At 45.6% G+C, this 11,546-nt stretch overlaps 1 annotated feature.

The window, feature by feature from the left end:
• Nucleotides 5,434-6,078: an enhancer, noted in NCBI's record as "OCT4-NANOG hESC enhancer chr10:95609025-95609669 (GRCh37/hg19 assembly coordinates)". NCBI's record gives its function as "activates a minimal SCP1, AML or CMV promoter by ChIP-STARR-seq in primed H9 embryonic stem cells {active_cell/tissue: H9 hESC(primed)}" and the evidence as "EXISTENCE:reporter gene assay evidence [ECO:0000049][PMID:30033119]".

Genomic DNA, 11,546 nt, shown 5'->3' on the forward strand with positions numbered 1-11,546 from the left:
TCAACGTGGGAAAAGCTCTTTACTTCTCCCCAACTAAAATAATGCACAAATGTCCTCTTTTGTAAAGGAAATTTACATTTATAAAGGATATCTTCATTAGTAAAGGTATCTGTAGGAAGAAGACAGCTACTCAGAGATGACTTTTATCACCTGAGAGACTTTTATCTGCATAGCAAGGCAACCACCATTCACCATACATTTCCTCCCCTCCCCTTCCTGTAATTTGCCTCCACCACCCTGCAGGAACCCCAAACCCTTATTCCTTTCTGTATCTCGGGGTGTAACTGTGATAGGTTCACTGTCTGATGTGCAGCAAGTCAACACATCAAAACCAGGTTGCAATAGAGAAACAGGTTCAATCACAGGGCTGCTGAATGAGGAGACAGTAGGAAACCTCAAATCCATCTCCCTGAGGAGTTTGGGGCTAGGGATTTTAACTGTGAAGATCATTGATGGGTGAAAGTGTGCATGGGGGAAATTGTGGGACAGGAAGATAAGGAAATTGTATTCTCACGCTGATTCGGTTCTTCTGTGGGGATCTTCAAACGGTTGGCATCAGCTCTTCCACTGGAATTCAGGATCTGAAAAAACCTCTTAAGCAATTCTTAAACACAAAGGCCTTATGACTCCAACATCAGAAATTCTATCTGTAAGAATAATGGGGATACAAATTAATTCTTAAAAGCCTTATGATTCTAACATCAGAAATCCCACCTATAGCAACAGTGGGGATGCAAATGGTCATTATCTAGTGCTGTGCAACTTTCAGTTACCAGGAAGTGGGCCAGAGTACAGCCTGATTAACGCTTAATTATAACAATGTTTCTGTCCAGAACGCTTGTTACCCTTGTGAGGACAGCTTCAAGGGTGATACATAAATCTCAATCATCTGGCTGCTCCTTTGAGTCTCATATTTTTGTGGGACTTCATGCATACATACATAATTAGAATTGGTTTTCTCCTGTTAAATCTCTTATGTCAATTTAATTCACAGACAAGCCAAATAACCTGGAAGGATAGAAGGAGCATTTTGCCTCTCCTGTAATTGAAAAACGTCCTTCTCCACAATCCCCACCCCCAGTTTCAGAAGCTCTCAAATCCAACCCCTTCTCTGCCAGTACCCCCTAGACCTCCAAGGGATACTCCAGTGCCACCTACTCCATCACTCTGAGAGGTGACACCGTGCTGGCAGCCCTTGCAGCCCTCACTCACTCTCGGCACTCTCTCCTCTGCCTGGGCTCCCACTTTGGTGGCACTTGAAGAGCCCTTCAGCCTGCCGCTGCGCTGTGGGAGCCCCTTCCTGGGTTGGCCAAGGCCAGAGCCGGCTCCCTCAGCTTGCAGGGAGGTGTGGAGGGAGAGGCGCGGGCGGGAACCAGGGCTGTGTGCACAGGGTGCTTGCAGGCCAGCTCTAGTTCCAGGTGGGCGTGGGCTCGGCGGCTCCACACTCGGAGCGGCCGGCAGGCCCTGCCTGCCCCGGGCAGTGAGGGGCTTAGCACCTGGGCCAGCAGCTGCTGTGCTCGACTTCTCGCTGAGCCTTAGCTGCCTCCCTCTGGGGCAGGGCTCGGGACCTGCAGCCCGCCTTGCCTGAGCCTCCCCCCTACCCGCCGCCGTAGGCTCCTGAGCGGCCTGAGCCTCCCCGACGAGCACCGCCCCTGCTCCAAGGCGCCCAGTCCCATCGACCACCCAAGGGCTGAGAACTGCAGGCACAGGGCGCGGGATTGGCAGGCAGCTCCACCTGCAGCCCCAGTGTGGGAGCTACTGAGTGAAGCCAGCTGGGCTCCTGAGTCTGGTGGGGACTTGGAGAACCTTTATGTCTAGCTAAGGGATTATAAATACACCAATCGGCACTCTGTATCTAGCTCAAGGTTTGTAAACACACCAATCAGCACCCTGTGTCTAGCTCAGGGTTTGTGAATACACCAATCGACACTCTGTATCTAGCTACTCTGGCAGGGACTTGGAGAACCTTTGTATCCACACTCTGTATCTAGCTAATCTAGTGGGGACTGGGAACTTTTGGGCCTAGCTCAGGGATTGTAAACGCACCAATCAGCACCCTGTCAAAATGGACCAATCAGCTCTCTGTAAAACAGACCAATTGGCTCTCTGTAAAATGGACCAATCAGCAGGATGTGGGTGGAGCCAGATAAGGGAATAAAAGCAGGCTGCCGAGCCAGCAGTGGCAACCCACTGGGGTCTCCTTCAATGGTGTGGAAGCTTTATTCTTTTGCTCTTTGTGGTAAGTGTTGCTGCTGCTCACTCTTTGGGTCCACACTGCTTTATGAGCTGTAACACTCAACACGGAAGTCTGCCTCACTTTTGAAGCCAGTGAGACCATGAACACACTGGGAGGAAAGAACTCCAGACGCATTGCCTTAAGAACTGTAACACTCACCGGGAAGGTCTGCAGCTTCACTCCTTCGCCAGCGAGACCACGAATCCACTAGAAGGAAGAAACTCTGAACACATCTGAACATCAGAAGGAATAAACTCTGGACATGCCACCTTTAAGAACTGTAGCAGTCACCGCGAGGGCCCACAGCTTCATCCTTGAAGTCAGTGAGACCAAGAACCCACCAATTCCGGACACAACTGTAGTTCTCTTTCTCTATACCCTGGCTTATTTGGGGTTCTCCCAGACCTCAGAGCGTAGCTTTCAGAAAGGCGTAGGCTTGAGGCCAGGAGGACAAGACCAGCCTGGGCAATATAGTGAGACCCCATCTCTAAAAAAAAATATTTAAAAAATAGTTGGGCATGTTGGTAGACACTTGTAGTCCATCCAAGCTTCTGGGAGGCTGAGGTGGGAGGATTGCTTTAACCCAGAAGTTTGAGACTGCAGTGAGCTAGGCTCAGGCCACTGCTCTCCAGGCTGGGCACCAGAGTGAGACACTGTCTCTATAAAGAAAATTTACGAAAGGCTTAGGAACCAGTGTCAACGCCCAGCACTAGAGTTTTAGAGGTGTGTAGGAAAGGAAAAAAAATATTTTTCCCCTACCCTTCTAGGTTTTCTAGTTGAGAGGGGCAGGTGCTGCTGCAAATTAGACTAACAAAGGAAAGACTAATGAGAAAAATAAAGTTTAATTAATGTGTACATCATGCATACTTGTGAGACAAACTCAAAAATGAGTAATTCAAAGAGGTGGTTAGAGCTTGGGGCTAGTCATTATTCTTAGCAAACTAACATAGGAACAGAAAACCAAACACTTAGTTTTCTCACTTATAAGTGGGAGGTGAGGCGAACAATGAGAACACATGGACACAAGGAAGCGAACAATGCACACTGGGGCCTGTCGGGATTTCTGGGGAGAGCATCAGGATAAATAGCTAATGCATGTGGGACTTAATACCTAGGTGATGGGTTGGTAGGTGCAGCAAACCACCATGGCACACGTTTACCTATGTAACAAATCTGCACATCCTGCACATGTATCCCGGAACTTAGAATAAAGTAAAATAAAATGTTTTTAAAAAAAGAACTTGGGGTTTATATAGCATCTTAACAAAAGAACAAAACATTTGTAGAGATGTGACAAAACAAACAAAAAGGGGTTTTAGGGCCATGCACAGTGGCTCACGCCTGTAATTACAGCACTTTGGGGGTTCAAGGCAGGAGAATTGCTTGAGCCTAGGAGTTCAAGACGAACCTGAACAACGTAGTGAGACCCTATCTCTATAATACATACATACATACATATGTAAATTAGCCAGGCTTGGTGGTGCATGCCTGTAGTCCCAGCTACTTGGGAGGCTGAGGTAGGAAGATTGCTTGAGCCTGGAAGATCTAGGCTGCAATGAATCATGATCACACCACTGCACTCCAGCCTGGGTGACAGAGCAAGACCCTGTCTCAAAAAGAAAAAGCAACATGGGCTTAGGCTAGTAGGGGCATCAAGTTGTGGGAGGTGAATTTATGAAGAGTCTAATGGAAGATAAGGGTAGTTAGTAAGGTTTGTTTGGTTAGACTCTTCCTCAGTGCCATCTTGTTTCTGGGATAAGGTTGTTATCCCACTCCTGGTATGGGAAGTGGAGGCGGGGACAACTTCAGAAGGGAAATTTATCTTCTTCTTTTGAAACCGGCCTAATTGTCCCATGGAAGTTATATTTATGAGGTTTTGAATAAACATAGAAGTTGACCCTCTCAGTCTTTTTTTTTTTTTTTTGAGATGAAGTTTCGCTCTGTTGCCCAGGCTGGAGTGCAGTGACATGACCTCACCTCACTGCAACCTCCGCCTCCCGGGTTCAAACGATTCTCATGCCTCGGCCTCCCAAGTAGCTGGGATTACATGTGCGCACCACCACACTTAGCTAATTTTTGTATTTTTAGTAGAGACGGGGTTTCACCATGTTGGCCAGGCTGATCTCGAACTCCTGACCTCAGGTGATCTGCCCTCTTCGGCCTCCCAAAGTGCTGGTATTACAGGCATGAGCCACTACGCCCAGCCTCAGTCTTAAAATTTGAAGCTTACATTTGTCTCATCTGAGCTTCTTCCTCAAGAAACCAACCCTTTGGCTGGGCACATTGGCATGCACCTATAATCTTGGCATTTTGGGAGGCCAAAGTGGACAGATGGTTTGAGACCAGAAGTTTGAGACCAGCCTGGGTAACATGGTGAAACCCCATCTCTACCAAAAAAAAAAAAATAATACAAAAAGTTAGCCCAGCACAGTGGCAGGCACATGTAGATGTAATCCTAACTACTCAGGGGACTAAGGTTGGAGGATTGTTTGAGCCCGGGAGGTCAAGGCTGCAGTGAGCCATTATTTCATGCCATTGCATTCCCGTCCAGGCAACAGGGTGAGACCCTGCCTCAAAACAATAATAATTATAAAAATAAAAATAAAAGAAACCAACCCTCAGGCAAGGAACTGAAACTCATCAAATCACCACATTCAGACAATGAGACCCCAGGACCCTCATCCATCACAATTGCTTCCTTATCCCTCCCTAATTCCTGTTTTCTTTGCGTTCCTCAGTATTTAAGTCCCCCAATTTTAGTCCATTGGAAGAGGGATTTGAGACTGTACCTCCTGTCATCCTAGCCTGCAGCACCTGATTAAAGTCTTCTTCTCCGGCAATTGACTCATTGTCACAGTGATTGGCATTCTGTGCAGTGAGCAGCAGGACCAGGACTGAACCCCTCATTTTTTGGTAACACTCTCAGGCATACAGGGAAGGACAGAGAGTTTACCCTGTGTCTGTTTTTCTCAGTTGTCTTCAGTTCAAAAGAATCCTTGTGCAGAGAGGCATATTTTGGGGTGGCAGACTCTGAACCCCTTCGAGGGCTTAGGCTGCTTTGAGGACCGCAGCAGTGATGTGGGTTAAAACTGGTTTTAAGTTGGATGGAGAACCCAGCCACCTTTTAAACAAACGTGTTTCTAGGACAAAGCGTGTCCCAGGTTCCAAATAAGTGACATACAAGGGAACCTTCAGAAGACAGCACTGTCGGCAAGATGGTAATCCCTGTCTCTGCAGTCTCTAGTTAGTGGCAGAGGGTGCAGTGGAGTGAGTGCTGCCCTAGGAGAGTGGGATTCTAGTTCCAACTTCTACTCATCTCATCCAGAGCCTCAGATATCAATAAAAGGCATACCACCTTTAACATTTTCCTAACCAGAAATTGGGAGAATGAACCAGATTATCTCCTGTAATTCCAAAGATTATGGGAAATTAAAGTGAATTTCAAGAGGCTCATTTCCTGCTATGAAGAATTCCTGCTTTGAATGATTTATGGATTTTTGATGGCCGAGGTTGGGGGTGGTGGTTCCATGCTGACTTAAAGGACCCTCCTTCCCAGAGTGGTTTATTAATTCAGGGATCAAAGCAGAAAGGAGAATCCGCACTGGGGTGGGTGGAAGGAAGCAAGTACTTGCCTGAGGGCTGGGCCCAAGAACCCAAAATTCACAAAGGGACTAGGAGTGCTTGTTAGTCTATGAATGGCTTAAATCAATTTGTTTTTTTGCTCTAGTATTTCCTGTTTCTCAAATCAAGAGCCCTAATGCATCTCAATAGTTTCAAAGTAGCCATTTGCTTTCTTTCCAAAGAGCAGTCATTTACCGCCTGCAGGTTTGTATTAACATAAACTACGCAGACAGCTTTCTGTTCTAGCAAAAAGCCTCTCTATCGCTTAAGGCAATCAGACATTCTGCTTAAGAAAGGCAGAATTAATTAACTGCAGAAAATAAACTGACACTCTGCTCAGACACACTCTTGAAGGAAAATAATGCTGAATAGGTTTGTAACTCATTCATTTACACAATTTTTGATGTTTTAAAAAATTCGGAGAGCATTAAAAGTTCAGAGGTTGCAGTTTAATAAAAATTGCCTTGGGTAAGGTATTAAACATTGACACAAAATGAACATCATCTTTGTCCTGCGTTTATTACAAACATTCAAGCTGCTCCTGAGGATTCGTTAAGGCACATTGAACAATTAAACTTCAAGGCTTATTTTCATCTTGCTAATTACCTCTTAATAGAAACTTTTTGTGATTGAGCTTCATTAGCCAGTTGGAAACCGGGCAGATTTGAAAGAAAACTGTTGTTTAAACAGATCGCTGGATTTGAGTCTACTCAGTGGTGTGACTTGGCAAAGGCCTGGAGATACTAGGAGAGACAGTGACAGGGAGCCTGGGATTAATAAAATCTGGCAAACAGAGCAGTGGTCTTGGAATGCAGAAGTCATAGGTTCAAGTTTCTGCTGGGTAGGATAGGGTGATCAGTTAATTTATTGTTCAAAATGATAGAGACAGGAGGCAGGGAAATTCTGGGCAGAAGAGGGCAGTCCCCAGTGAGGGGCCCAACCTCAGGCCTGGAACTGCAACCCAAAGCAAGAACATGCATTCCTGTTTTCCCGCTCAAATGTTGCCTTTTCCAAAACCATCCATGGCCCACCCCACCCCCCAATCCTGTGCCCATGAATACCCCAGCCTCTGCCAGAAGAGGGAGGAGAAGAGAAGCAGCAGGACGTCGGACACTACAATTGGACGTCAGAGAGAAGCAGCTTGACTTCAGAGGAACAGCTTGATGATGTAACTTCAGAGAAGAGTCTGGTCAGGATGGCTCGACTCTGGGGGAAGATTATCTTCCTGCTTCATCCCCTTTTCAGCTCCCCTTCCTGCTGAGAGCCACTTTCATTGGCAATAAAAGCCCCCACATTTACCATCTCCAATTTGTTCACAGGACTTCATTCCTCCTAGACGCCAGACAAGAACTCAGGTGTGGGTGAAAAAGCTGTCATGCTGACACTCCACTTAGCTGTAAACACTTAAGCCGTCTGTGGGTGGCAAAGCTAAAAAAGCATTGTTTTAGCACTCTTGTAACACTCTTTCTGGTGGTTGAGAGGTTCCAGGCACCCCCCAAGATGATGCCATGGGGCAGCACAGAGTTTTGCTCCTTCCAGCACCCGAAAGCACTTGTTCTGGCTCCTGCACCTGCTCACCTGTGCTCCCCCTCCTGTGAGGGTTGGAACACAGTGGGACCAAGTGAGTGGAGTTCACCCCTGCCAGCACCGAAGCAGCCAGCTAATTCTAGCTCTCATGCACTCCAGTTCCCACCCACAGAGGGTCCACGGAAACTTTCTGTTTCAAAACCCAGGTGCTAATGAGAGTGTTATGTTTAGCCTAAAGCTGCTCCCTTACATATTTTAAGTTCAGCCTAAAGTTTTCTCAGTACATAGTGAACTGTAACCTAACTGGATGTGTAAATAGACTGTAACCTACTATTGGGGCTCAGAAAACAATGCACAAAAATGAAATCCTCAGCAACAGCCTCAGAAACAAAAGTTTTTGTTTTCTTTTGTTTTTGAGACAGGATCTTGCTCTGTCACCCATGCTGGAGTGCAGTGATGTGATCATGGCTTACTGCCCTCTCAACCTCCTGGTCTTAAGCGAACTTCCCAGCTCAGCCTCCTAAGTAGCTGGTACTATAGATGCATGCCACCACACCTAGCTAATTTTTAATTTTTTTGTAGAGATGAGGTTTTGCCATGTTGCCCAGGCTGGTCTCAAACTTCTGGCCTCAAGCAACCCTCCTGCCTCTGCCTCCCAAAATGCTGGGATTACTGACATGAGCCACCAGCACCCAGCCCCAAAATTTTTCTATGACTTTCTCCTGCCTGCCCTCCTTTCTGTCAGTCCCATTCTCCCACAAGGCTAGCCATAGCAACTAAACTTCTTCTTCCCCAAGGTGGGTCATAGAAACCAGAAACCCTTTTCCCTTGAAGGCCAGTCATAAAACCTAAAAATACTCTATTTAAAACTGTCCATAGGCCTGGTGTGATGGCTCATACCTGTAATCCCAGAATTCTGGGATGCCAGGGTGGGCGGATCACTTGAGGTCAGGACTTTGAGACCAGCCTGGCCAATATGGTGAAACCCCATCTCTACTAAAAATACAGAAATTAGCCTGGCATGGTGGCATGCGCCTGTAGTCCCAGCTACTCAGGAGGCTGAGGCAGGAGAGTCGCTTGAACCTGGGAGGAGGAGGTTGCAGTGAGCCAAGATGCCCCAGTGCACTGCAGCCTGGGTGACAAAGTGAGACTCCGTCTCAAAATAAAAAACAAACAAACAAAAAAACTGGCCATAAAGAAATTATCTGATCCCCATTCCAGAGAAGAGTCCTGCCCCACATTCAGAAGAAAGGGGTGTGTGCTCAGAGAAGCCAAGAAGAATCTAGACAGGCAGGCCTTATTGGTTTTTCCCACTAAGTCTATTGAAACCGCCTTTGCAAAATTATAACTAAAGAAATTATGACGGTGAAAGATATCCGACCTAACCAGCTCCATCTTGCTTCTAATATCTCAACTGTCTTTGTCCATTCCTGGGCATAGGCCAAATTGGCCTTGGGAAGGAATTTAGTTTATGGTTTAAATAATACCTCTTTCCAAAAGCTAAACTGTTCTTGTAAAATGAATGATATGCCACCAGCCATAAAGTAATGATGAGAGGGGCTGGGATTCTAAATATTACCAGCCATTATTCCAGAGGTCATAAGATTTGCAACTTCCCCAAATACTCTTGAAGATAACATCACTATTGTGAAACTAAGATTGGCCTGTTGAGATGTCTTTTCAAGTTTTTGCATTTCTGAAACCAGATGGCCCCACCTGGGCCTGCCAACCAGTTCTGTGGCCCTCACCCAGGAACTGACTTAGCACAAGAGAACAGATTAGACTCCCTGTGATTTCAACCCTGAGCCAACCAATCAGCACTCCTGACTCACTGGCCTCCTGCCCACCAAATTAGCCTTAAAAACTCTGATCCCCGAGTTTTCAGGGAGATTGATTTGAGTACTAATAAAACTCTGGTCTCCTGCACAGCTGACTCTGCGTAAATTACTCTTTCTCTATTGCAATTCCCCTGTCTTGGTAAATCGGCTCTGTCTAGGCAGTGGGCAAGGTGAACCCGTTGGTTGGTTATCCTATTAGCAGTAAATCATACCCTTTTTGTCCAATAATATTTTTACATGGTTATCCATCCATACCTTGTTGAAGCTAAGCATAAAAGTGGACAGTTTCTCCTGTATCTTTGTGTTTTCATCCTGAAGACTCCCATGTATATGTATTAAATACACTTGTATACCTTTTCTCCTATCAGTCAATCTGCCTCATGTCAGTGATTTTCGGTGAACTCACCAAGTTTCAACCAATCAAAGGCAGCCCACTGTTCAGACCTTGTTCAAATAAGGCAAATGCCAAGCTGAAACTACCTTTGCAAAAGTTATATCAGTGAGAAAAACAAAAACAAACAAACAAAACTAGTAAGCTAAACTAACCCAATCCCCATCTTGCCTTTTTCTTATTATTCCTGGGCTATTGGGCCAAGCTAACTTTAAAGATATTAAGGCTATAGTTTAATAATAGGCCTTGCCCAAAACTTAACCGATTTTGTAAAGCTAATGGGAAGCCCTTAGGCTGGGGGAAGGAGCGGAACTTGAGTCCTGCTAAGGTGCAGACATAAGCAATCGTCAGCCATTATTCCTGAGGTTATACCATACGCAACTTCCCCAATTACTCCTGCAAATAACAACACTATTGTAGACTGGCCTTTTCAGATATCTTCATAGGTTTTTGTGTGTTTGACACTCATGGCTCCACCTGGACCACCAACCCAGCTCCTGTGGCCCCACCCAGAAGCGATTCAGCCCACCACAGGATAGCTTCCACCTCCAATGAATGATTTCATCTCCGCCCCAGCCAATCAGCAGCAAGCATCTGTTACCTGTTACCCCTTCCCCCAAACTGCCTTTGAAAAACCCCTAACTTAGGAGCTCTAAACAAGATGATTTGAGTAGGAACTCTATCTCCCATGTGTCGTGGCTGGCCTCCTGCCTATTAAACTCTTTCTCTACTACAATGCCGTGGTCTTTCTTTATGCAGTGGGCAGGAAAAATCCCTTGGATGATTACAAAGCTGTTACCAATCCAGCTGTTTCTGTACCTCACTTCCATTTTCTATATCTCACTTTCCTTTTTTTATCTATAAATCCTTTCTGTCCATGTGGCAGCACAGGAGCCTCTCTGGACCTATTCTGGTTTGGGGAACTGCCCGATTCACAAATCATTCTTTCCTTAATTAAACTCTGTTCCTTTTTTTTTTTTTTTTTTTTTTTTTTTGAGAAAGAGTCCCCCTCTGTCACCCAGGCTGTAGTCCAGTGGCATGATCATGGCCCACTGCAGCCTCGAATCCCCAGGCTCAGGTGATTCTTTCACCTCAGCCTCCCGAGTAGCTGGGACTACAGGTGCACGCCACCACACCCAGCTAATTTTTAGTATTTTTTGTAGAGATTGGGTTTTGTCATGTTGCCCAGGCTGGTCTCGAACGCCTGGGCTGAAGTGATCCACCTGTCTTGGCCTCCCAAAGTGCTGGGATTACAGGTGTGAGCCACTGTACCTGGCCAAACTGTTAAATTTAATTTGTCTAAAGTTTTAACAAGAGTAAAAGGGAGTGTTTACTGAATGGGGTGCCAGGCATAAAGAATTGGACAGTCCTAATTAAATCAGGCTCTTTAGCAGCTTTGTGACTTTTTAAAGCCATTGACCTTTCTGAGGCTATTTCTTCACTTTACAAGGAAAATGACAGTGTTTGGCCTTACTAATCATGGAGATACACAAAAATGTACTTTATAAATTGTAAACCATGATAAAATGTGAGGTACTATCGTATTTGATAAAGCAGAGTCAAGTTTACTGCTTACTATTGAAATACTGGATGTACAAATGGACAATTGCCAAACTATATATAAAGATAGTATTTTGACTCACAACCTATCCAGAAAACCAACCCCTTTTGACAATAACCAGCACAGGAAGGTAGCCTGTTATAAATCAGACTTTCAGGAACTCACTTGTTATCTCTAGTGACAAGCCAGGAAGCTAAATAATAACTTGTGTCACAATCGGCCCCAAATGGCCAGGACTTGATTAATAACTAACAGATTCTGTAAGTTTTTTTCTCCACTTCCAACTTAGGACCAACTAGGGAAAGCCAAATATGCATTCCCAATCAAACACACAGGATTCCCCGCTTCTAGGTAGCCTCCTACAGCTTTCCC

This window comes from Homo sapiens, chromosome 10 (assembly GCF_000001405.40).
Source record: "Homo sapiens chromosome 10, GRCh38.p14 Primary Assembly".
NCBI lineage: Eukaryota > Metazoa > Chordata > Mammalia > Primates > Hominidae > Homo > Homo sapiens.